General features: G+C 57.9%; 1 protein-coding gene and 1 long non-coding RNA gene across 3 annotated transcripts, besides 10 other annotated features; one reads left to right on the top strand and one right to left on the bottom strand.

Moving 5' to 3' along the window:
- Nucleotides 1020-1249: a silencer, noted in NCBI's record as "silent region_13369". NCBI's record gives its function as "represses an Ori minimal core promoter by ATAC-STARR-seq in GM12878 lymphoblastoid cells {active_cell/tissue: GM12878}" and the evidence as "EXISTENCE:reporter gene assay evidence [ECO:0000049][PMID:35858748]".
- On the top strand, nt 1219-16935 carry RRP1 (ribosomal RNA processing 1). 2 transcript variants are annotated; one of them, NM_003683.6, is made up of 13 exons: nt 1219-1404; nt 2992-3074; nt 4314-4371; nt 4961-5046; nt 6831-6892; nt 9064-9193; nt 9273-9337; nt 9549-9742; nt 11212-11291; nt 12159-12256; nt 12504-12523; nt 13916-14029; nt 15154-16935. In NM_003683.6, exons 1-13 carry the CDS (start codon nt 1272-1274, stop codon nt 15414-15416), a joined length of 1386 nt encoding a protein of 461 aa, NP_003674.1. In that variant the 5' UTR covers nt 1219-1271; the 3' UTR covers nt 15417-16935. The 2 variants fall into 2 exon arrangements, with proteins under 2 accessions (NP_003674.1, XP_016883974.1); XM_017028485.3 differs by lacking the exon at nt 15154-16935 and adding an exon at nt 14963-15147.
- Nucleotides 1280-1389: an enhancer, noted in NCBI's record as "active region_18548". NCBI's record gives its function as "activates an Ori minimal core promoter by ATAC-STARR-seq in GM12878 lymphoblastoid cells {active_cell/tissue: GM12878}" and the evidence as "EXISTENCE:reporter gene assay evidence [ECO:0000049][PMID:35858748]".
- Nucleotides 1460-1629: a silencer, noted in NCBI's record as "silent region_13370". NCBI's record gives its function as "represses an Ori minimal core promoter by ATAC-STARR-seq in GM12878 lymphoblastoid cells {active_cell/tissue: GM12878}" and the evidence as "EXISTENCE:reporter gene assay evidence [ECO:0000049][PMID:35858748]".
- Nucleotides 3569-3781: a silencer, noted in NCBI's record as "fragment chr21:45211808-45212020 (GRCh37/hg19 assembly coordinates)". NCBI's record gives its function as "represses an EF-1alpha promoter that drives an FKBP-Casp9 reporter gene in an ReSE screen in K562 erythroleukemia cells {active_cell/tissue: K562}" and the evidence as "EXISTENCE:reporter gene assay evidence [ECO:0000049][PMID:32094911]".
- Nucleotides 5098-5597: an enhancer, noted in NCBI's record as "H3K4me1 hESC enhancer chr21:45213337-45213836 (GRCh37/hg19 assembly coordinates)". NCBI's record gives its function as "activates a minimal SCP1, AML or CMV promoter by ChIP-STARR-seq in naive H9 embryonic stem cells {active_cell/tissue: H9 hESC(naive)}" and the evidence as "EXISTENCE:reporter gene assay evidence [ECO:0000049][PMID:30033119]".
- Nucleotides 5600-6251: an enhancer, noted in NCBI's record as "H3K4me1 hESC enhancer chr21:45213839-45214490 (GRCh37/hg19 assembly coordinates)". NCBI's record gives its function as "activates a minimal SCP1, AML or CMV promoter by ChIP-STARR-seq in naive H9 embryonic stem cells {active_cell/tissue: H9 hESC(naive)}" and the evidence as "EXISTENCE:reporter gene assay evidence [ECO:0000049][PMID:30033119]".
- Nucleotides 16827-17056: an enhancer, noted in NCBI's record as "active region_18549". NCBI's record gives its function as "activates an Ori minimal core promoter by ATAC-STARR-seq in GM12878 lymphoblastoid cells {active_cell/tissue: GM12878}" and the evidence as "EXISTENCE:reporter gene assay evidence [ECO:0000049][PMID:35858748]".
- Nucleotides 17107-17246: an enhancer, noted in NCBI's record as "active region_18550". NCBI's record gives its function as "activates an Ori minimal core promoter by ATAC-STARR-seq in GM12878 lymphoblastoid cells {active_cell/tissue: GM12878}" and the evidence as "EXISTENCE:reporter gene assay evidence [ECO:0000049][PMID:35858748]".
- Nucleotides 17400-24209, bottom strand: AATBC (apoptosis associated transcript in bladder cancer). Its single transcript, NR_026961.1, has 2 exons — nt 20443-24209; nt 17400-18230 (listed from the first exon to the last, which is right to left on the bottom strand). It is a non-coding gene; the product is annotated as an apoptosis associated transcript in bladder cancer (long non-coding RNA).
- Nucleotides 17607-17906: an enhancer, noted in NCBI's record as "active region_18551". NCBI's record gives its function as "activates an Ori minimal core promoter by ATAC-STARR-seq in GM12878 lymphoblastoid cells {active_cell/tissue: GM12878}" and the evidence as "EXISTENCE:reporter gene assay evidence [ECO:0000049][PMID:35858748]".
- Nucleotides 21795-22711: an enhancer, noted in NCBI's record as "H3K4me1 hESC enhancer chr21:45230034-45230950 (GRCh37/hg19 assembly coordinates)". NCBI's record gives its function as "activates a minimal SCP1, AML or CMV promoter by ChIP-STARR-seq in primed H9 embryonic stem cells {active_cell/tissue: H9 hESC(primed)}" and the evidence as "EXISTENCE:reporter gene assay evidence [ECO:0000049][PMID:30033119]".
- Nucleotides 24210-24245: the final 36 nt, after the last annotated feature.

The following is a 24245-nucleotide window of genomic DNA, read 5'->3' on the forward strand; positions in this document are numbered from 1 at the left end:
GGCTCACTGCAAGCTCCGCCTCCGGGGTTCACGCCATTCTCCTGCCTCAGCCTCCTGAGTAGCTGGGACTACAGGCGCCCGCCACCACGCTCAGCTAATTTTTTGTGTTTTTAGTAGAGACGGGGTTTCACCGTGTTAGCCAGGATGGTCTCGATCTCCTGACCTCATGATCCGCCCGCCTCGGCCTCCCAAAGTGCTGGGATTACAGGCGTGAGCCACCGCGCCCGGCCAACGCCACAACTGTTAACAGTGTGCCATAGTTGCTTATCTGCATACACATATGTGCGTGTAATGATTTACTTTTTTGCAGAATGAATTACAGACATCATGACAGGTCACCTTTACCAAAGAGTTCTGCAGTTATTTCTAAAAATAAAGAATATTTTTCTACTTCAGGGTATGTCAAACTGTGGCCCTAGGCCAAATGCAGCCTCCCCGTTTTTTTTTTTGTTGTTGTTTTTTGAGACAGAGTCTCACTCTGTCGCCCAGGCTGGAGTGCAGCGGCGCAATCTCGACTCACTGCAACCTCCGCCTCCCGGATTCAAGCAATTCTCCTGCCTCAGCCTCCTGAGTAGCTGGGATTACAAGCGCCCGCCACTACGCCTGGCTAATTTTTGTATTTTTAGTAGAGACAGGGTTTCACCATGTTGGTCAGGCTGGTCTCAAACTCCTGACCTCGTGATCCACCCGCCTCAGCCTCCCAAAGTGCTGGAATTACAGGCGTGAGCCACCGCGCCCGGCACACCCCTGGTTTTAAAAATAAAGTTTCGAGCCGAGAGTGGTGGCGCCCGTGGTCCCAGCTCCTCGGGAGGCTGAGGCTGGGGGATCCCTGGAGCCCGCGAGGCAAAGGCTGCAGTGAGCCGAGATCGCGCCTTGCACTCCAGCGTGGGTAACAGAGCGAGACCCTGTCTCAGGAAAAAAATACAAGTGGGGTTATAAATAAAATGAGATTAAAAAACAACAGATCTTTGCCTCAGAATCCCGACCCACCGCAGCCCCAGCGAGGCGCAGGCGCAGGCGCAGGCGCGCGCTCGCTGGTTCCGCCCATGCGCACAGGCAGGGAGCGCGCGCCCCCTCTGTAGCCTTCGGCCTCCGGGGGCTGCAGTTGCGCGGCTCGGCCACTGCGCGGCGGTGGCGTGCGCCTGGGCGGTGTCGCGGGCTGTGACGTCACGCCACGCGCCGGGGCCAGGAGGAGGCGGGCGCAGGAGGCGCGTGCTCAGTGTGCTGGGTACCAGGCGACTCCGGGACAGGGGGTCTCGGCCGTCGGCGTCATGGTTTCGCGCGTGCAGCTCCCGCCTGAGATCCAGCTGGCTCAGCGCCTGGCGGGGAATGAGCAGGTGACCCGGGACCGGGCGGTGAGGAAGCTCCGGAAATACATCGTCGCCAGGACTCAGCGGGCCGCAGGTTGGCGGGGGTGTGGGCGGCTGGCGTCTCGGGGGCCGGCTGGGCTGGTGCGGGTGTGGGCGGCGGCGGCCGGAGCTGGGGGCCCTCCGAGCCCTGTGGAACCTCCACGTGGCCGGGCCGGGCAGGCGGGGTCCACTGGCCTGTTCCCGCTGTTACCGGCCCACGGCCCCCGCCGCCGCTTTCCCTCGTGGTGCGGTGACTCTGGTCCCTCTGCGAGAACGCTCCTCCCCAGCCCCGTAACCCCTTTCCTAGCTCAGGCGTCCCCTCCCTCCAGTAGACCATGTACTCCTGCTGCCCTGCTGTTTGGGCACCCAGTATTTTTCCCTCATGGCAGCATTTCCCACTGTTTGCAGTTTTCTGTTTTGCGTTAATTATTGGATTGTTTTCCGATTTCCACTCGAGAGTACCTCTCTGAGGGCCGAGAATCTACTTCTTGTTCATGGTACCAGGTGGTTCTCCGAGCGTGGTCCCCCATCAGCAGTAGCATCCCCTGGACATTTGTTAGAAATACACGTTCTATGCCGGGCGCAGTGGCCCAAGCCTGTAATCCCAGCTACTTGGCACGTCGATGTGGGAGGATCACAAAGGCCCAGGAGTCCAGCCTGGGCAACATAGCAAGACTCCATTTCCATCGCAAAAGAAAAGAAAGAAATGCAAGTTCTAGGATCCCAGCCCTACTAAATCAGGACTGGCATCTGCTTTATGAAGCTGTTCAAGTGCTTCTGCTCCCCACACTCAGCCTGAGAACCACTGCTGCAGGAACAGGTTGCCAGACACATAGGACTTCAGTGAATGTCAACTGAGTAATGTTTTAAATTAAAATTTTTTGTTATTTTTCTGAGTGAGACAGACCTCACTGTCATCCGTGGTGGAGGAGTGCATTGGCACGATTACAGCTCACTGCAGCCTCTACCTCCCAGGCTCAAGTGAGCCTCCCATCTCAGCCTCCCCAATAGCTGGGACTACTGGCACCGTGCGGCCAGGCCAGCTAAGTTTTGTATTTTTTGTACAAATTGGGGTCTTCCTATGTTGCCCAGACTGGTCTTGAACTCCTGGCCTCAAGTGATCCTGCCTCAGCACTCAATTCCAAAGTGCTGGGAGTACAGGCGTGAGCCACCGCACCTGGCCTCAGTAATTTCTGTTTCTCTCGTAGTCTGAATGCCTGAGTTCACTTTCTTCTTTTAGTATTTGAGATATATTACAGGAGAGTGCAGAAGCCCTCAGTATAATGCTGGATGAATTATCACCAACAGATTAACCTTGTGGCCACTGTCCAGCTTAGGAAACCGTCAAGGTTCGCAATTTTGAATTTCCAAAATGGAGTATGGTGCCTGATACCTTGTAGATCTCAGTCGGTTTTACTGTGTGCGTGAAGTAGCAGTTACCTGGAGTAGCCGCATAGCCACAGGCGCGGCAGGTTCTGGGTTAGAAGGATTGTTTGAAGGGGAGGGCCAGATTCTGCCCCCCAGTTGCCTTTACCGTAAGTGGGACTTTGGTCTCATTCAGGCAGTCACGTTTCTGTGGCTTCCTTTCTGGCACTCGAAGGTGTGGGATTCATTTGGTCCAACCGTTGCTGTTTTGATGCAGGTGGTTTTACGCACGACGAGCTGCTGAAGGTGTGGAAAGGACTGTTTTATTGCATGTGGATGCAGGACAAGCCACTCCTCCAGGTGAGTGGGGGGAGCAGCAGAGCAGGTACAGAAGCAGCGGGGGAGGATGGATGGGCATCTGGTCAACCCAGTTTTTCTTTTTTTTTTAAGTCGGAGTTTCGCTCTTGTTGCCCAGGCTGGAGTGCAGTGGCTCAATCTCGGCTTACTGCAACCTCAGCCTTCTGGTTTCAAGCAATTTTCCTGCCTCAGCCTCCCAAGTAGCTGGGAGTACAGGTACCTGCCACCATGCCTGGCTAATTTTTTGTATTTTTAGTAGAGACAGAGTTTCATCATGTTGGTCAGGCTGGTCTCGAACTCCTGAGCTCAAGTGATCCTCCCATCTCGGCCTCCCAAAGTGCTGGGATTACAGGCATGAGCCACCGCGCCCGGCCTGGTCAACCCAGTTTTAATATGGCCAGAGACCGTGGGGAGGTCGTATAGCCTTGACGCTTGGTTCGGCACGGCTGGTGGGCCTGGGCCTTTGTTAGGTGAGTCTTACACTTGCTGAGGTGTTGATGTGATTGACTGAGCCGTGCACTGCAGCAGCACTGGCATGGGTGAAAACTGGGTTTTGTGTTTGTCCTGGGTTGCAAACAAGTGCTGAAATAGTGGAAACCACGGGGCGGAATTCAAGTCTCCTGAGACAAGGACGTCTCCTGCTAGCCTTTTCCAAACATTGTTTCTCAAATTGTGAATTTTGTGCTCTCCTTCAAAATCTCCTGGGTGGTGAGGGTACTTAGTTAAGTTCAGGTTCCTGGGCCATATTCCATGCCCACTGAATTATCAAGGGGAGGCTGTGAAATGTCCCTTAGCAAGTATTCTGGGCGATGGCTGGCACGGTGATGTAGGCAGATAGCCAGTGATCTATGGGGTCTCGCAGCCCTCTTCCTCCTGATGGTTAGGGGGCTGTGAGTCCCAAGGCTCCCTTCCGCTCTCCCACGTCCCTCTTTAACCGTGACTCTGTGGCTTAGGGCACAGCCTCTGTCAAGAGGGCAGTGCCTGCTGTGGTTGTGTGAGAGGCTGTTGACCCCAGCTGTCTAGAGGGGCCTCCCGTGGTTGTGTGAGAGCCTGTTGACCCTGGCTGTAGAGGGGTCTTTTGGAGCAGGGGTGAAACCTCCAGTGCACTGAGCTGAGACCCCCTGGAAGCCGACTCTCTGTGATGAGTGAGTGAGTGAGTGGGTGAGTGGGTGGTTGCGTGTGTGTCATTGTGAGAGCCTGGTGCTTCAGGGGCTGAGGGCGTTTTTGTTGTTTCCTACACAGGAAGAATTAGGAAGGACTATTTCCCAGCTCGTTCATGCTTTTCAGACCACGGAGGCGCGTGAGTATGCTCTGCTGTAGTTGGGTGCATTTGTAGATGTCAGAACCTCTGAGCATCAGAGCCACCAGACCCAGGAGGTTTGTGTTCTCAAATCCAGAGTAAGGAATGCCTAAGGGCAAGAGAGCGCCAGCTGGTGTCTGTGGGTGCTTAGCATGTGTGCAGTGCTGGTGTAAGTATTCAACATGGATTAGCTCATTTACCCAAAACCCTCATTTCGAGCCTAATGGGCTAATATCTTACACTTTAAAAATAAAGTGAAAAGCCAGGATAATGTCACCAAGAGATTGGACTGAATTCCGCCTGATGGTCCTGAGGTTCCTGCAGTTGATTTTTCTGACTCCTCTGTTCTCTGGTGACCGGAGTTGAGAAGTTCTTACCCTGCCTGTCTGTAGGACTCACTTGAGGAGCCTCTAAAAATCCTCATGTCCAGATCCTGGTCCAGCAAGATCCAGTTCTGGGGGTAGGGCCTGGGCATCAGCATTTTTTATCTATAGCTATGTAAAGAACGGGTTCCTCCATGTTCTCACCTCCCTCCCCAGAGTGGCTTCGTGCTCCTCAGTGGTTCTCTTCTGGCTTATTCCTTCTCCAGAGCACCTGTTCCTTCAGGCCTTCTGGCAGACCATGAATCGCGAGTGGACGGGCATTGACAGGCTGCGCCTGGATAAATTCTACATGGTGAGGCAGCCACCAGGGTGCCGGCGGGCGGGGGCAGCGCGGGTCTCAGTGCCTGGCCAAGCGAGACAGGCGGCACCTGGGCAGGGAGGCAACCTGAGGCAGTGCGACCCTGAAGCCAGGGGTGGGAGGTGGAGCCGAGACTCTGGGCGGTCCCTGACCAGGGCTCTGCAGCTTTGTCCAGTCTCTGAGGGTCATTGAATGGGCAAGGAATTCGACCCTTAAAACACCACACAAACTTTTGGTTCAGAGAAGGAAAGTGACGATTGCTCTCCTGGTGAGAGTCGATGGTGACACCGTTGTTACCTTGTCAAAGAGGCAGAGTGAGTCTGGAGGCGCAGCAGAGGAGCTGCGGTCACGCCCTAGCATGAGCCCTGGAGTGCTTAGCCTGCGAGGCTGGGATGGATGGTCACAGTGTGGGACTTCCTTTCCCTCCTCCCTCATTGTATCCCCGTTCAGGGCACTGATTTGCCCTGAGAATACAGGGGAACACTGGGGTTTAGAGGTGCAGCGTGTTGCTGCCCGGACCTGCTTCTCTCCTTCCCTCCTTCCCTCTTGTTGAACCATGAGGTCTCGTTACTAAGGTGGTGGTCATTGTAACCTTAGAGCAGGCCTGAGATACAGGGACATTGTCACTGTGTAGGAGTCGGTCACCCAATGGGGACACTGAAAGGGGCCATGTCCGGGTCTCACTGAGGACAGATGTTGATCTGCCACTCTGGCTTCAGTGTCCAGCTCAGATTCGGGCCAGGATTGTGCAGACAGCATATATACCAGTGATTCTAGAAGTGGAGACCAGGGCGGGAAAGGCCTGGAGCTCAAGAAGGAAGGAGGCTCCAGGGCAGGCCAGGGGCCCGGCCATGCACTCAGACAGAGTGCAGACTCTTAGGGACAATGGGGCTCTGCAGGGAGGCCACCCTACTGTTTTGCTGAGATGTGGCTGCTGGGTCCCTGGATGGATGCGTTCTGCTGCTTTCCATGGCTCGTTTCTGGGTGCCCCTTGTGTGGCTGAGTCCAGCAGCACAGCCTTGCGTCAGGGCTAGCCTCGGTGGCACCGCAGGGTGTTGTGGGGGATAGGCCTCCTGTGTCTGCAAGAACAGTGTCCGGGCTGCTGGGCTGTGCTCTGTCATCGGGGCTCCTGGGGGTCCGCGTGTCCTCTGCTGCTACTGACTGCAGCTCAGACCCCACTCTGGGCGTGTGGGCATGCTGGGTCAGTAGCCTAAAGGGGGGACAACTGCAGAAGGGTGTTGAGCCCCATGGAGGGAAATGGCATTGTTGATTCACGGGTGAGGCTTGGCGGGAGGGCCTTCGCTGTGTAGTGGACCGCAGAGGAAGTGAGCTACATTCTGCCCGTTGCGGGGGGTTTGGTGAGGACCAGCCGTGTTTCAGACCTGGTTTTGCGGAGGGCTCCACCGCCCGTGGGGGTAGCCGTGCCTCTTTCCTGGTTCTCCCTTATGAATCGGACTGTTCCGTTTCAGCCCCGGTTTATGGACTGGAGTCGTAGGACTGTCCCCTATTACCCCCGACCCCCCATGCACCTGCTTCCTGCCAGCTGGGGCCTTGGAGCCGGGGATAGGGCATGTTCTCAGCCCAGGGTTCTGAGGGCTTGGTGGTGTGTCCTCCAGCGTCTGTCTGTCAGCAGCTCTGGGGGCCGGCTGTGTGCTGGGGCCGGCAGAGGTCACCACGGCCATGACTTTATCCTGCAGCGGATGGTGGTACATGGGGATGGGTGGTCTGGCGAAGTAGGGCTGGGCTTCTGCTAATGCCAACCTCCTTCTGTGTCAAAGCTCATGCGGATGGTCCTGAACGAGTCCTTGAAGGTTCTGAAGATGCAAGGCTGGGAAGAAAGGTGGGTGCGCGGCGGGCCTGCTCTGGGGGGACGCTGTTCTCGGGGACCGCAGTCGTGTTTGTCATTTGATTCTTTGCCATAAGGAGATGTCAGCCTTTATATTAACGCATGCCCCCAATCGTGCTTAGAGAGAAGATAGTTTTTAAAGTAAAAATCAGTTTGTGTGTTTGTGGAAATGATGCCATTTATCCTCAGGCTTGGAGGCCAGTTCTCACTGGGAGTCAGAAGGGAGTTTTTTAATGAAAGGGTGTCCAGCCGAGGAGCTTCTTATAAAAACACGGCATGTTCCGCTTCATTAGCAATGCTTTTTGTTTTTTTGAAATAGGTGTCACTGTTGCCTAGGCTGGAGTGCAGTGGCGTGATCTTGGCTCAACTACAGCCTTGACCTCCCGGGCTCAAGTGATCCTCCTGCCTCAGCCGCCCAACTGGCTGGGACTGCAGATGTGCACCACCAGGCCCACGTAATTTTTGTATCTTTTTTTGGTAGAGACGAGTTCTGTCCTGTTGCCCAGGCTTGTCTCAAACTCTTGGGCTCAAACAATCTGCCTGCCTAGGCCTCCCAAGTTGTAAGCAATGTTAATTGCTCCTAATTCTAAAAATATGTAAATTGGCTGGGCGCGGTGGCTCACATCTGTAATCCCAGCACTTTGGGAGGCCGAGGCGGGCAGATCACAAGGTCAAGAGATCGAGACCATCCTGGCCACCATGGTGAAACCGTGTCTCTACTAAAAGTACAAAAATTAGATAAATGCATAGAAAAGAATTAGCAGGCTGGTTATGGTGGGTTAAGGGGATCTCTTGAGCCCAGGAGTTTGAGGCTGCAGTGATCTGTGACTGAGCCACTGCACTCTAGCCTAGGTGATAGAGTGAGATTCTGGTTTTTTGTTTTTTTTTTTTAAAGAATCAGCAGGAATTGAACTGTGGCTGCTGAGTTTCTCTAGGTTTGAGTTGCATGGGTGATTTTGCATTTAGGGCAGCGGTGCCTCTGGTTTGGAGGGATTTTCATTCTTCTATTCCCTGGCAGGACTCTGATGCCAGGAGTCTCATTCATTCTGGGCCTTAGCATTGTGGATTACCCCATAGGGGTCTCATGGCTTAAGCTGAATTAAATGTTAAAGGGATGATTTTACTTGTGTTAACTTTTTTTGGCATATTATTACAAGAGTACTTTTCTCCCTGTAACTGAGAATTCAGCACAGGAATCATGTGGAAGACCTCGGTGCCTTCCCCCAATGCCTGCTGCGGTCCCAGTGCTGACAGTGGGGTCCGCTCTTCCCGCCCTCTTGGATCTCCTGCAGGCATAACCAGGCTGTCATTAATATCCACGCCATTGCCACTGGCCTGGGAAGTCGGTCCCTTGCATCTGTGTGTCTTCCTCTTGGTCTCAGCACCTGTTCTTGCCTCTGTCTCGTTTTTCCTGAGCCTTAGAGAGCATCACTTTTCCTTTCCATCACGAGTGATTCTCCAGCCTTGCTACGGAGCTTCCTAAGGATCACACAGTTTACAGATCTGAGTTAGGCAGCTGCGTTATTAAGCACCCCAGGAGGTCCAGATGCATGTAGGTGCTACACATTATTCTCTGGGGCTGTCTAGTCTTCAGATCCAGGGCCTGTGATGCCATCAAACCCGCCTGCCAGGGAGAGCTCTGGTGGACGTCACAGTTGGAATGCGTCGTGCGGCAGGGCCCAGGAAGCCAGCAGGTGGCTCATGGTCCTCGGCCCCTTTCTGGGCCTCCACCTTCCTTTCTCTGCCTGTGCTGTCCTGACGTGTCTTCCCCAGCGGTACCCAGTGGAGGCAGTGGAGAGGAACACCAGGCAGGGCGTCTCGTCTCAGCCAAGCCTTTCTCTCTGCTAGCAATCTTGAGGACAGAGGGAAGGCCTGTCTGAATGTTTACACGTGCTGCATTTTGTAGCTGACATGCACACTCAGGCCATACGTTCTGGTGGTGGTGCTGGTCACATAACTCCCTAACTGCAAGACTGCCTTGCGCTGGAGGAGACCTAGGATCGTTGATATCATCTGCGTGGACTTTAAGGCTGGCATGTTTGCAGACAGTGGCGCCTGCCCGCACTTAGGTTCCCATCAGAGCGTGTAACCATGGGAGAGTGGGGGGCACGGCTGTCTTGGGGCTCATCGAGGCTGCCTGTCATGTTTGCTTTTTCTTTCCTCAGACAGATCGAGGAGCTGCTAGAGCTGCTGATGACTGAGATCCTGCACCCCAGCAGCCAGGCCCCCAACGGTGTGAAGAGCCACTTCATCGAGATCTTCCTGGAGGAGCTGACCAAAGTGGGCGCCGAGGAGGTGAGGCTGGGCTCCGACGGGGCGGTGGAGCTGGGCGTTTGTGGAGGAGGAACTGAGCTCCCGCTGGCTTTCCCCGTAGCTTACGGCAGACCAGAACCTGAAGTTCATCGACCCCTTCTGCAGAATTGCTGCCCGGACCAAGGAGTAAGTGGTGGGTGGCCTGATCGGGCCCGACTCCTTCACTGAGTTCTTCCATGGGGCTGCTGTTGTGGGGGTGCTGCTCCCTCGAGGGATGAATCTGTCTCAGAGTGGCCGCTGGCCGTGTGGGTGGGGAGAGGTTGCAGGGGAGTCGGCGGCTTCCGCTTGGGAATCCAGCATAACGGGCCTGCTCACCGGCCTCTGCTCTGCCCCTCAGTTCCTTGGTTTTGAACAACATCACTCGAGGCATCTTTGAGACGATTGTGGAGCAGGCCCCGCTTGCCATTGAAGACCTCCTGAATGAACTGGACACACAGGATGAGGAGGTGGCGTCGGACAGTGATGAGTCCTCTGAGGGTGGTGAGCGTGGAGACGCGCTGTCCCAGAAGAGGTCTGAGAAGCCGCCCGCAGGTGGGGGTCACACTGCGCCTGGCTTCTCCTCGGGGCCTGTCCTGGGCTGAGCCAGTGCGATCTCCTGCTGGGTTGCTCCTGCCACCTCCTACCTGGTCCCCTTGTCTCTGCCCCTCTCCACAGTCCATCCTCAGCATAGAAGCCAGAGTGACTTCTGTGGGCACCAAGCACACGTCGTTTCCCCTCATCCCCCAGCCTCTGATGTGCTCCACGCCCTCTCCGGACCCCTGGGCTCCTCGGTCTAACGCATGCCTCTGGCTCAGTTGGCCCCCTAGACTCGTTCCTGCCTTGGTGCCGAGTCTCTCCGTCCCTCCCACCGTCTCTCCCCCCATCACTCTCTGGGGCTGGACTCTTTCAGCCTCCTGGCCTCTCCCAGCCCCCAACGCAGTCCTCCCCATAGCGTCACTCTGTGGCACGGGATGTGAATCACTTGCTCCTCGTGTTCCTCGTTCCTGGCCCGTCTCCCCAGAGGACAGCAAGCTCTGTCCATATTGACCATGACTGGGTTCAGGCCTGAGACCTCAGGGCACCTGACTGCTCTGTGTGCAGTGTGTGTGAGGGGCAGGTGTACTCACCTGCCCCTCACTGCCTGCCAGAGGCCTCTGTGGGCAGCCGTGGGGTCCAGCCTGGCCCATTTTTTGTTTTGATGCTGCACTCATTGTCCGAGCCTGCTGGGTGGTCTGAGCTCTAAGTGTGGCATCCTGGTGCTGTGGAGGGCATGTCTTTGACCACGCTCAGGACCCCAGTATGCCCCAAATCAGTGCTGTGGCCACTGTTCCCCTTGGCTTCCTAATCAGAAGACCCCCTCCCCACCGCCCCCAGCACTTGGCCCGGCCACCCTGTATGCTTCTCCCTGGTCTCTGCCTTGCCCTTCTCTCTCAGTAGCTGAGGTGCCTGGCAGGTCCGCTAGTGCCTGCTGCTGGCCCCCTGCTGCCAGCTACAGAGCAGACCCTTGTCACATGCTGCCCCACAGCTGCCTGTTGCCCAAAAACCTTTCTTCTGCAGACAGTGCCATCAAAGCCCCAAATGCCCAGCCTAGCTCGAGCACCCAGCCGAAACATCAGCTCCCACAGCTTCTGGACCAGGCCACCCTGAGGCTCCTCACTTCCAGAACTTTTGACATGGCCTTTGTTGCCCAAGATGCCAGCTTGTAGTCAGCCACTCAGGGCTGTGTAGGCACCTGTGCCCTGGGACATCTTTTTTTCCTTTGCAGGCCTGAGGTGGCACCTCTCATCCTGTCCATACGAGATTAGAGGTCACATGGCACCTAGTATCTGCCTTGAGCTGTGGGCTTTCCCGCCTGTGCCCATGTTCTGACCAGGGTGCAGGGTGGGCTGTCCGTTCCCGGGTGTTTCCCGCCTGTGCCCGTGCTCCGACCAGGGTGCACGGAGCGGGCTCTCCATTCCTGGATGTTTGGGGCCAGCACACGTTGGGCACAGGTAGGGTTCACGGGGTCCCTTTTGTTCCAGGCTCCATCTGCAGGGCTGAACCTGAGGCTGGTGAGGAGCAGGCAGGTGACGACAGGGACAGTGGCGGCCCCGTTCTCCAGGTGGGTTCCCTGGGCTCATGGCTGTGCCCTCAGCCTTTGCCCCTCTGTGCTACCGCTTGCTCTGGAAGAGGAGGGGGGCGTTAGGAGGGAGGATGGCAGCTGTTGGCATGGAGAGTTACCCGGACAGGGGTTAGCTTTGAAGGAGGGATGGGTGCCCCAACCCTGCCCGCCTGTAGACGAGTGGGATCATTGAGAGTGGGGCTGGGGCCTGGGAAAGTGGGGCTGGGGCCTGGGAGGGTGGGCTCAGGCAGAACTGCATTATCCAGGGCTGGCCTCACCTCACGCTGTCCTCTTGCCTCACACATGGGCAGCCCCCCAGATTTCCTGCGGCCCCCTCGTTGGGGTGCTGGTGGGGAATGAGATGGCATGTGCCAAGCGGCTGGCCTGTGGGTCCCAGCGAGGAATCCACTCAGCCAGTGGGGTCTGACTTCAGGCAAATTGGAAACTTAAATGTTTTAAGTTTTAAATATGATTATCTGCAGACTGAATAAAATGTGGCTATCTTGGGTTAAAATTGATCAATTTAACCTATGTTGTTCGTGCTTGTCTGTGTGGTTCCTAGAGTGGTAAAGCTGCAGGCAGGCTACCGGCGGGCGTGTGCCCTGCAGTGTGCCCCGCAGTGTGCATCTTCCAGAGTGTGCCCCGCAGTGCGTGCCCCGCAGTGCGCCCGCAGCTTGTGTGGTGCCCGCTGTGCTGTAGAGTGGGTGGAGCTGCAGGACCCTCAGTGAGGGTGGGCTGTGTTCCTGTGAGCCGGGTGGAGAACCTGCAAGTGGGACCAAGTGCTATCTGGGTCTCAGGGGTTCCACGTTCTCGGAGCACGCAGAGCGTGGCTGACCTTGCCTCTGTGACGTCTCTCTTTTGAAACAGTTTGACTACGAGGCAGTTGCTAACAGACTGTTTGAAATGGCCAGCCGCCAGAGCACCCCTTCTCAGAACAGAAAGCGTCTCTACAAAGTGATCCGGAAGTGAGTGTGTGAGGGCGCTGCGTCCTCCCTGCTCCCCTTGGAGTTGCCCTTTCTTGCTCAGATCTGGGTGCCTTTGCCTTGTCCTGGGCCCTTCCGCAGCCCCCGGGGTGATCCCCGCTAGGACCCTGAGACCGTCCCCAGCCCCTGGGGTTCCCCTGGCTAGGAACCTGCAGCCGCTCTAGCTGGAGCTTCCTCCTCCTGCGGAAGCCGCAGCTGTGGTAAGTGGGTATCTGTCTTACTCTTTCAGGCTGCAGGACCTGGCAGGAGGTGAGGATCGGCCGGGCACTGACAGTGGCACCACCTTGGAGGTGGAGCTCCATCCTCGTGGGAGTGGTTTGGTTCTAGGGGTCTCATAGCACGTGGAGTCTCTTTGCAGAGAGGCCTGGTGGTGTTTCTGAGGGACAGGGAGGCAGGGCGCAGGGTTCCACAGCTCTCGTTTTTGTGGTTTTTGCTGAGTGGTTCTCAGACTTGAGTGTCCATTGGAGTGCCCCAGAGCCTGAGAGATGGGGTGCTGGCCTCAGGGGCTCCCAAGCACTGACCGCGGTGCTGCTGCTGGTCTGTTGGGCAGCACACGTCTGTTCTTGGCAGCGCGTGGCGGATGGAACTGGCATAGGTTATCGGAAGGACGGTTTCCTAGTGGGCGTCGATGGTTAGAGACGTAGGCGTTTCCCCTGGTGTTTCCTTATGAAAAGTTTCAGACCTGCAACTCAGTTGGAAGGATTTTATAGTGGATGTCTGCGTGTCCCTGCCGGCCTCCAGCATCAGCACTTCCTGTCCTTGCGTGAAGCTCCTCTATCCCAGCATCACACCCCTGCATCCGCCAGCGGGCGCGTCATCAGCTGTAGTCCAGGGTTTGGTTTTTTTATTTTTTATTTTTTGAGGCGGTGTCTCGCTCTGTTGCCCAGGATGGCGTGCAGTGGTGTGATGCAGCTCACTGCAGCCTCGATCTCCTGGTCTCAAGCGATCCTCCCGCCTCAGCCTCCCAGTCGCTGGGACCACAGGCGCACGCCACCACGCCGGCTAATTGTTGTATTTTTTGTAGAGACAGGGTTTCGCTGTGTTGCCCGGCTGGTCGTCTGGGGTTTTCGGGACAGCGCGCGTCAGTGAGGTGCGTGAGGATCGTGTGCATCTGGCAGGTTTTGATGCAGAAAGTTGCCTTGGGCCGCCAGCATGAGCATTGTAGGCTGTAGACTTTGGTGTACAGGTTGAGCGTCTCTAATCTGAAACCCCAAATCCAAAATGCCACCAAGTCCAAAGCTGAGTGCTGACAGGAAGCTCCAGGGAAATGCTCGTCGCAGTGTTTTCTGTTTGGGGTTTTCAGGTGAGGGCTGTTGAACTGGTGAATATGATGCAGACGTTCCAAAACAACCTGACATTCAAAGCACTGCTGGTCCCAGGCATTTGGGGTCGTGGACGCTCTATGCTGTACCTGTGTCCTGGATGCTCCAGGAACTGGCTTTTCCAGATGGGCTTGGGTCTCAGCTGGTTCGTTTCAGCTGTGGCGGGTACTGAACACGCTGCTCCTGGGCATTAGAACAGGGCGCTTTCTCACACACATTGTCAGGAGGTGGTGCTGGCTGGGGCCTGCTGGAAGCAGCGAGCCTCAAACCATAAGTCCCCAGCCCCCGAGAGCCCCCTGACTTCTGCCCTGGTTCTCAGGCATTTTCCCTGAAGATGAGATCCCAGAGAAGGCCTGCAGGCGCCTGCTTGAAGGGAGGCGGCAGAAGAAGACGAAGAAGCAGAAGCGTCTGCTCAGGTTGCAGCAGGAGAGAGGTAGGACTAGGGGGTGTGTTAGTCATGGAGCCGGCGTCCTCACCTGCTTGCTTCTCCCCTGGATGGGGGTCACCTGCAGTGTCTCCCCCTGAAGCATGAGTGCCGAGTCCCCCATCCTGGGTGCCTGCTATCCACGCATCCCGGAAATGCCCTGTCCTCGGCATCCCTCCTGTAGGCCTCTCCCTGCCTCCCCCACCCACCTTCCTTGTCTGCAGCTCCCCCGAGCTGTGTGCGCTGCCCTCCCTCCCGGTCTGGAGACATCCTCCTGGCTGGGCTGCCTCCTTCCGTGCCTCCGTCTTAGATCCAAGCCCCGTCCGCTCCTCTCCCGCACCCTCCAGAGATTCCTGAGTCTCTCCACGTCTTCCTTCCCCTTCTTCCCTCCACTTCTTCCCTCCACTTCTGTCCTTGATTTCTGGGGCTGCCTTCCGTGTTGGGCCTCTGGCCACACGAGTGTGGTTGGCATGTGATGCCCTCACCAGGGGCAACCCTGGGTCCGCGGCAGACCACTCAGGGCCTGGAGCTGCCTACCTGCAGTGGAGGGGGTTGAGCACAGTGCCGGGCAGGGCAGGGGGCCCATGGCAAGAATGGGGTGCAGAGGAGGCACATGGTGGCTTTGCCCCACACTGGGAAGCCTTCCCTGTTACTCTCTCCATGCTAAACTGGCCCCAGGGCCTAGGGATTCACCCCTTCCCTTGCCCAGAGCTCCGTGCCATTGAAGCCGTCCATCTCATTTCCCATGAGGCAGTGGCCTCCTCTTTGTAGCCGGCCCTTGGCTGTGTGAACCCTGTCGGCCCTGGCGTTCAGGACCTGGCACTGCCTGGCGTCCTGTTCTTCCACCTCCCCTTCTGCCTTGAGCCCAGTCCTGCCTACTCCTCTGTGCCTTTGCTCCTGGGTCTCATGACCCTGTCCTCACGCTGGTCCTTCTGAGGTCAGCCCTTGCTGAGGTCCTGAGCCGTGTGGATGGAGCTTGGCGCCCACACTGGACACGGGATGCGTCTGGCTGGCTGTTGTGGCCGTGTTGTCCTCCCAGGTCTGTGGTGCTGGCATCCTCAGCCTGAGTTGGAGTAAGTGGAAAGAGCCCGTGTTGGCATTCTCTGGCTCATGGGGTCTTGCTGTTTTGTCAGGGAAAGGTGAGAAGGAGCCCCCGAGCCCGGGCATGGAGAGGAAGAGGAGCAGGAGGAGGGGTGTAGGGGCCGACCCCGAGGCGCGGGCAGAGGCTGGTGAGCAGCCAGGCACAGCTGAGCGGGCCCTGCTCCGAGATCAGCCCAGGGGCCGTGGCCAGAGAGGGGCTCGCCAGAGAAGGAGGACACCTCGGCCCCTGACCAGTGCCCGAGCAAAGGCGGCCAATGTCCAGGAGCCGGAGAAGAAGAAGAAACGCAGGGAGTGATGTGGCCGGGCCAAGGACAGGCAGGGAGGGAGGCCAGGCCTCGCTTGCACCGCGGGACGAGGCTGACCGGGCTGTTCTGTAGACTCAGGACCGTGGCTCCAGAACTCCTGTGCCAGGCGGGAGGGAAGGGCGGCACTGGAGAGATGGGCCCATCATTAGGGGCCAGCATCCCAGGAACTGGACCTTTCCCCAGAGCCTCCGCCTGTGGCTGTGATGACCTTGGGCCAGAAGGTCAAACTCCGAAGACTGAAACTCTGCCTGCAGCAGGACTGGCCGCCCCTGCTGTGGGGGGTTCAGAAAATAAAATGCCGCGCAGCCCTTGCCAGGGGAAGTGTCGCTTCAGGTGTGTCCTACGGACGTGTGGGAGGTGGCAGGCGCCAGCCTCCGAGCAGTGTGGTGGTTTATATTCATGTTTGTGGAAAAATCTTGCAAGACATTTCTCCTTTCACAGAACTGCCCAGGTGTTAACAGGGCTGTCTGGACGGGGCTCTTTTGCTTCCCCCTCAATCTGGGGTCTAGAGTTGTGCAAGGAATTCAGCTCCAGTAAGGCCTGGATTGCCCGGGGTGAGCGTGTGTGTGGTGGGAAGACCTGGCTTCCGCGAGAGCCTTGTTCCTGGAGGCAGGAGCGCCCCGCCATCCTGGGTACCCGCGGGTCCGCAGGCTGCGCACCTCTTTCCCTCAGCCAGGTCACCCTCAGCGTCCTCCCTGCCCCTCTCCCCTTCACACCTGCTGGAGCCTGTGAGGGAGGTGGCGGGTCCCCACTGTGGCGACGGAGAGCTGACAGTAGCCCAGGGCTTTCCACCTGCATGGAACAAGGGCCTGTCTGCCGCCAGCGCTGTGGCCACAGCCTGCATAGGTGACAAGGGGCCGCTGCGTTGGGTTTTGCCCGCATCTTCTGTTCCATGGGTGCCCAGCCAGCCAGGCCGTGTGGGATCCAGCGAGAGGCCAGGGCTTGGAGTGGGCCTGGGACCAGGAAGGACCTCTAGGCTGTGGCTGGCCTTGTGCAGACCCTGGACTGCATCCGGTTCCCCAAAGCCCTGCTGCATTCGAGTGTCCCCCAACCCCGGGCAGGTGGCACCTGGTGACACCTCCTTCAGTCCCACTCAGCTGGGCGGCCGGGGCAGGCTTAGGGCACAGTTAGGGGCCAAGGAGAGGGAAGGCCAGGGCCCCTGTTCTAGGGGTTAGGGTTCTTTCCCCAAAGGAACTTAAAAAGACAAGCGTGGCCAGGCACAGTGGCTCACACCTGTAATCCCAGCACTTTGGGAGGCCGAGGTGGCCAGATCACCTGAGGTCAGGAGTTTGAGACCAGACTGACCAACATGGAGAAACCCCATCTCTACTAAAATACAAAATTAGCCAGGCGTGGTGGCACATGCCTGTAATCCCAGCTACTCGGGAGGCTGAGGCAGGAGAATTGCTTGAACCTGGGAGGCAGAGGTTGTGGTGAGCTAAGATCACGCCATTGCACTCCAGCCTGGGCAACGAGAGGGAAACTCTGTTTCAAAAAAAAAAAAAAAAAGACAAGCGTGTCTAACGTAAACTGCCGGTGGCGAGCGTCAGGTCTGGGCAGTGTCCCCTGGGCCTGGTCAGTGTTCCCCTGGGCCTGGCCTCTTTACCCCCAGCAGGGCCTGTTGGGACGAGCCCCTGCAGTTGGAGGCCTTTGGAAGGGAACGGGGTGCATTATAACGCTTTCTTGTTTTTGAAGTTTCTTTGGTCAAAAGCTAAGGAAACAACCATGCTAACAGAAGTTTCTGGAAAAAAGCAAATTAGAGATGCCGAATTGCAGTTGTGAAACTGGAAGCCACAGTGACTTTGCATCTTCTTTCACATGTGTGTTCACAGGGAGGGGTTTTTCATGGCTGCGCCGGCACTGTCACGCTCTGGCTGTTTCCAGGCCCTGCTGGGTGCACGTTTCCCCATATTCAGAATTGTTTTAAATAACCGCATTGTGCTTATGACATGAATGACTGAATTCCTCTCCTATTGGTAGCCTCTTTTACTTTTTTATTTTTTTATTTTTGAGACTGAGTTTTGAGTTGAGTTTTTTTTGAGACCGAGTTGTTTTATTTCCGCACATGAATGGTAGTTCCAGCTACTCAGGAGGCCAAGGTGGGAGAAGCGCCTGAGCCCAGGAGAGAACCATCGAGAGGTAATTCACATGGAGTACAGTTCGCCCAACTGAAGTGTGTAATTCGAGTTTTCAGCATATTCAAAGTTGTACAGCCATCACCACAGTCAACTTTAGACCATTTTCAGCCCAAAAGAAACTGGGCCATCGCCCCTCTGTCTCCCCGCCACCTGCACGCATCCTCCCGGCCTCAGGTTCCGGGCCGTGTCTGTTCTGGCCATGTGTTACGGGATCACGCAGCACCGTGGTTCCAGGGCTCATCCACACTGGAGTCTTTCCTTCATATGGCTGAGTGACATCCCACGGTACAGACAGTGCATTGCATCTGCCCGTTTGTCCACTGATGGACGTTTGGGGTGTTTCCGCCTTTGGCCGTCTTGAGTCACGCTGCTGTGTAAGGATGAGTTTGCAGGGGATGGATGCTTTCATTCCTCTGGGGCAGATGCCTAGGAGTGTCATGGCTGGGTTTTGGGCTCACCATGTCTAGTCGGTTGAAGAACTACTTTCCAGACTTTTCTACAGTGGCTGCATGCGTTGAGTTGAGCCTCGGGGATGGGCCCCTGTCTGGGTGTTCTGCTATGGCCAGGCTGATGGGATCCCAGGAGGTGACTCTTCTCAGGACACTTGGCCCAGCCACTCTGACTTTGTGACCAGGACGGGAAGCACCTGTGGTTCCACTCGCCTGCCTGTGGAGTGGGAGTAACAGCACAGGGCTGGGATGAGGATGATGTTGCTTTTTCCTGGAAAAACAATCTCTCAACCTTACAGAAACATTGCAGACACACAGCATTTCTCCCCCGAGCCTTTTGAGAGCATTTCCTGACTTGGTGCCCCAGCACCCTGGATACTTTGTGGCCCATTTCCTCCTACAGAGACATTCCCTTAACCACAGCACAGTGGTCACAGAGGGAGCTAGAGCCAGGTGTGGTGGCATGTGTGTAGTCCCAGCTACCCTGGAGGCCAAGGCGGGAGGATCGCTTGGGCCCATGAATTTGAGTGAGCCTGGGCAACATCAAGACCCCGTCTCAAACCAGGAAAAATCAGGGAATTAGCGTGGATACCTCACTGTGTCCAACCCTCGAACCCTCAGTCCTTGGTTGTCTCAGTGAAGTCGTTTGCAGCCCTAGGGCCCTGTTCAGATTCTCTCATTTCTCTGAAGATCTCTAGCTCCTGTGAGGGGAGGGTGGTGTTTAGAAGCCGATCTGGCTGGGCCCTTGCTATTCCGATCTCATTGTTCACAGGTGTTCTCAGCTGGCAGAGCTGGGGCAGTGTGTGCACAGCGCATGCCTGTTCTCTACCTGTCCCGCCAGCCACCCTCCATCTGTCTAGATTAAGGTCTTCAGAAAAAACAGAACCAATGAATGGGTTTTGTGTCTGTCCACTCCAGCTGCGAGAACAAAATAGTAGGGACTGGGCAGCTTAGGCCTGGGAGGGTGAGTTTCCGTTCTGGAGGATTCCGAGGGAGTGTCGGCAGAGTTGCTTTTCCTGGGCCCCCTCCTTGGCTTATCTTAATCAGTGGCCACCTTCTCACGGTGTCCTGACCATATTTATTTTTTTTTGGAGAAAAAGTGTCGCTCTGTCGCCCAGGCTGGAGTGCAGGGGCACCATCTCAGCTCACTGCAATCTCCGCCTCCCAGGTTCAAGCGATTCTCCTGCCTCAGCCCCTGAGTAACTGGGATTACAGGTGTGTGCCACCACGCCTGGCTAATTTTTGTATTTTTAGTAGAGATGGGGTTTCACCATGTTGATCAGGCTGGTCTTGAACTCCTGACCTCATGATCCTCCTGCCTCAGCCTCCCAAAGTGCTGGGATTACAGGCGTGAGCCACTGCGCCGGGCCGTCCTGACCTCCCTTACAAGGATGTCAGGAAGGTTGGACTGGGGCCCAGCCCTGTGATCTCATTTAACCCTGGTCACCTCCTTAGAGGCCCCATCTCCAGTCACACGGGGAGTTAGGGCTTCAACATGTGCTTGTCAGGGGATACAGTCCTGTCCATAGCAGGCGTGTGTGTGTGGTGGTGGCGGAGGGGAGAGTGCCCTGTTTGTTGTGAGGAGTCGGCTCACAGGACTGGGGCTGGCAGTTGGGAGTTCTGCAGGGCAGGCGGCCGGCTGGAGACCCCGGAACGTCCTCAGGGGCGGGGACCCCGGTCTTTTAAGTCCTTGACCAGGCAGACTGGATGAGGCCCCCTCTGCAGAGGCCCACCTGCTTTCCTTAGTCCACCGATTCAAATCAGCCTCATCCTGGAAACACCCTCAGGAACATCGGGGCGCTCCACCCGAAGCTGGGTGCCGGGGTCTGCTGCAGCGTTGGCCGCTCACTGTCTTATCGGCTGCCTATGCCTGCCCCACTCGTGTTAGGAGTTGACCTCTGGGAGAGGCGGTGCCTCCAGCTGTGATGGACACCCAGGGTGTATTCTAGGGTTTCCCTTCTGTGTTTGAACCTCCCTTTGCCGAAGGAACTCTGGCTTACATTACCCCCGATACTCACTTCATGCAGAACCGAGGCCCGGAGTGGGTGCTGCGCCCCTTCCCGCGTGGGTGCCCTCCTCACCTTCGGCTCTGCCACCCCCGCGGGAACCCTCCTGCCTGGTCACCTGCTTTCACACCCAGCTGCGCCACCTCCTGCAGGGCCCCCGGTTCCTGTGGGGCTCTGACACCAGGACACCCGCTCTTCACCCAGCCTGGGCCGCCGTGGCCCCCCGCCCCTACGGTGCAGCTCTGCCCTTGTTGGCCCTGTCTGAGGCTCCCGAGGGAGCTTGAGGGAGCTCAGGGGTGCCTGGTGAGCGGGGGTCTCCTGGATGCTCCTCTTCCAAGCTCAGAGGCTGACCTGGCAAGTGGCAGCACCCCACCTCCCCATTTGAAGCCCACAAGGAGGAAGAAAAGAAACTTCTTGACTCACCCATCACGGAGACCCACGGCCATCCCGAGAGGTGTGGCCACGTGAGCAACAACGCTCCACGCTGGGTGTGGGCGAGGGTCTTCCAGGGACCCTAAGCCTTCTTAAAGAACAACTTGGAGATGTACTTCATGCAGCGTTCAGTTCCCCGTTGCGGGTGCACAGTCGGGCGGCCGTGCACTGCAGCACAGCTCATTGTAGAGCATCTCAGCGCCCCAGAGAGCAAGTCCCGACGCAGGGCCCCCTTTACCTGGAGGTGACTCCGGGGAGGGGCCTGTGGACTCGCAGGGTGGTGAGGCGAGTGTGTGCATGTACAGCTTCCTCCCGCAGCCAAACGGTCTAGAACAAACATGCTGTGTCCTCGCTGACTTCAGAGCTTCAGTAGCAACCCACGCCACAGCTTCACAGTTGACAGTTGTCACAGGCTCTGCTCGGAGGTGACGTTCTGGGGACTGAGCAGCAGCTCTGGAGTTACAGACTTAGAGGGGCCGTCTCCGGGCCCCCCTGCTTTTTCCTCCTCGCCTCGGTACCAGTAGATGGAGACGCCAGTTGCAGTCCTGCCAGCCCACAGTGGCTCACGTTCCAAAGGCTCTTCCCTGCAGGCTCTCAGCCAGCCTGGGTCACTAGAGGTGCCCATTTTCCTGCCTGGCATGGCTGAGCAGAGCCAAGAAACAGCCTTGAACCCCAAGACCTCTCCCTCAGCCAGAATGTTCTCTGCGTGAGCTTCTCATGCTCAAATATGACCGTGACCTGTAACATCTCCCGGTAGGCCTTGCGGGAAGTAGAGGCATTGCACGGGCGAGGGAGGTAAGCAGGGAGCAGCCCCCGGCGAGGGTAGGCCCTGCAGCTGCGGCAGGGGTGAGGGGAGGGGCTGAGAGGTGGACGGCAAGTCAGGCAGCGCCCTGGGTGTTGTGGGGCGGTTCACGCAGGGGTGTGACCTGGCCAGGCAATTTTGGACCCACTTCCTGGCCGTGGGATCGAGGGTGGGTTTGGGGACAGTTCTGCCAGCAGCCCCGGGGTTGGAACATGTCTCACAGAACTTCCACTGTTGCATATACTGCCTTATAAAGATAGACCGGTAATGGGGACTGTCCCCCCTCATTAGCCCGGAAGTTCCCCCAGAGGGCACAAGACCCCACGCGGTGATGTTGAGGCCTGGACGGTGGTGGTGGATGAAGAAGAGGCCTGGTTTGCAGTGTGTGTGGTGCTGTGGCCTACCAGGAAGAGGGCCCAGGAGTGGGCATGCATGTGCCCAGCCCCCAGCCCACGTGGTAGGGAGCCGGCCCCACAGCCATAGCCTGGAGTCTGAAAGGGAACATCTCCATCTCTGATGGGGACCTTTTCCCCAAATGGACTCTTCTACCGTGAAGAGAACGGCAATGGCCAGCGCCGCGGTGAGCTGCTCGGAGATTATCCCCACAAGCATCACTTACCTCTACACAGGGCTGGTTTTACTTCCTGAACCGGATTCGCCGGAAGGAGCTGCAGGAGACTGCCTCGGAGTCTTCCCGCAGGGACCATCTCCCCAGCGTGCGGCCTCTCCCCTGTGTAGCCTCTCCCCCATGTGACCTCTCCCCCTGCGGCCTCTCCCCCTTGTGACCTCTCCCCTGCGTGTCCTCCCCCATGTGACCTCTCCCCTGCGTGGCCTCTCCCCCGCGTGGCCTCTGCCCCATGTGACCTCTCCCCCCTGCGGCCTCTCCCCATTGTGACCTCTCCCCTGCATGGCCTCTCCCTTGTGTGGCCTCTCCCCCATGTGACCTCTCCCCTGCGTGGCCTCCCCCATGTGACCTCTCCCCTGCGTGGCCTCTCCCCCGCGTGGCCTCTGCCCCATGTGACCTCTCACCCCGCAGCCTCTCCCCCTTGTAACCTCTCCCCTGCATGGCCTCTCCCCCGCGTGGCTTCTCCCCCGTGTGGCATCACCCGTGGGTTCTCATTGCATGGAGCCCTGGCCCCTTACTGTGGGTGAGGAGTAGGGGGAGGATTGGCCGTTGGGTTCTGGGTTCCGCAGTCCACCGAGGGCAGTCTGGCCCTCTCTGTGCCTCCCCCAGGGATGTTGCCGGCCCTTTGTCCCCTTCTGTCACGTCCCCTGTCACCTGCCCTCTAGGACCTGCATGGCTGCAGTCCCACCAGCTGCCTCTGGGGGGTGCCCATGGCCCTGGAATGGGCTTGGGGGAGAACGCGCCGCCCCGGGGCCTCCAACCCTTTGCTCCAGGCCACTTGCTCCACCCTCTCTTGCTGCCCCGTGTGACCCAGGATCTGTTTGGGCGAGTGCCTCGTTCTCTCCCTGAGTGGAGCTTCTGCAGGTGCTTCACGAAGGCTGGCACCCACCTCTACCTGTGTACCACGGCCTGGGATGGACCCTGCAGCTGTGGCCCTCCTGGCACTATCCCTACCCTGTGCCCTGGTGGGTGTGCAGTGGGAACAGGCACCCTGGGGTCCTTGGAGGCTCAGCCTCCTCAGCCCTCACCCCCGAGACCCCATCGTGGCGCCTGTGTCCACTCAGGGATTATCCCAAGCCTGGCCAGAGGTCGGGAGGGGACAGAGGGAGCCACATAGGAGCCTCTACCAGCCCCTTTCTTACCACGGGGTGGGGGCGCTTCCCTCCCACAGGGTCTCAGGCTTGTGGGCTCCCCCCAGCTGCCCAGGCCCCAGAGGGCACTTCTGACCCTTCTCTTTGGGGTCTGCCCTGGGGGGCTCCAGGCCACTTGCTCCACCCCATCCCTCTTCTGGAGCCTCCCAGCACCTCAGTTCCGACTGTGGGGAAAACAGAACCCTAGGAAGCAACCTCACGGCTGTGGGCAGGGGAGGGCGGCCGGGAGCCCCAGCTGCCCCACAGGGACATTGAGTGAAGGCAGAGCCTGGGAGGGAAGTCAGATCCGTGCATGGGTCCCTTCCTGTTGGTGTTGGCGTCCCTGAGTGAGCAGCCATCCGCCGCCCCCTGGAAAGAGACCTGGAGAAGCAGCTTCAAGCTTTGGAGCCCAGCCCAGCTGCTAGCAGCCCCTGGGTCACAGTGCGAAGGGGGAAGGCAGGGGCTTGAGGAAGAAAGTGAGAGGATTGTGCCTGGGGGCCCCTGGAGGGCCAGTCTGGAGGCGCGTTGGGGTGAGGCGGTGCTGGCTGTGCCCGTCTGAGATGGGCAGAGGGAAGGCGCCCAGGGCTGAGCCCAGGGTCCCCAGGCCAGTCCCTCACTGCTCTGGGGTTCAGTTTCCTCACCTGCACAAAGGGCGGGTCCCGTGCTCTCCGGAGGCCACACGGGGTCTCCCTGAGGCACTGAGTCTGGCTTGTTTCTGGAAACTGAGGCACAGGAGGACGTTGATAACCGGCCTTCCTCTGTTCTCTTTCCCAGGGGTGCAGCTCGTCCGTCCCATGGTTTCAGATTTGCCCGGTGTGTTGCAACCACCACCTGGCACTCAGCTTGCCCGGTGCCGCCTGGCCCCGCAGCCTTTCCCAGGCCTTGCAAGGGTGGCACAGATGGGGAAACTCCATCTGCAGGGGCGTCACCCCCGAGGGATGTGTCCTCCACACTCCCTTGATGGTCACGTGGGTCCCGGGAGGGCGCGTGTGACTCTTCCCAGGATTGCAGCGTTGGGGCGTTGTGCCAGCCTGGCCCCGTGGGTGCGGAGTGCCGTGGACCCCTCGGCCCTCCTGACCTTGTTTCCCTTTGATGTAGAAGTCTGCATGGCATGAATTCCAGTGACAATGGGCCGGGCCAGGCTCCCTGTGCCCCTGGTACCGCTGCCCAGGGCCGGTCTCTGCAGTCACCCTCCTTCCTTCCTGGTGGCTCCTCCCTCCCTCCTTTGTTCTTCTTT

Source organism: Homo sapiens, chromosome 21, assembly GCF_000001405.40.
Source record: "Homo sapiens chromosome 21, GRCh38.p14 Primary Assembly".
NCBI classification, from domain to species: Eukaryota; Metazoa; Chordata; class Mammalia; order Primates; family Hominidae; genus Homo; species Homo sapiens.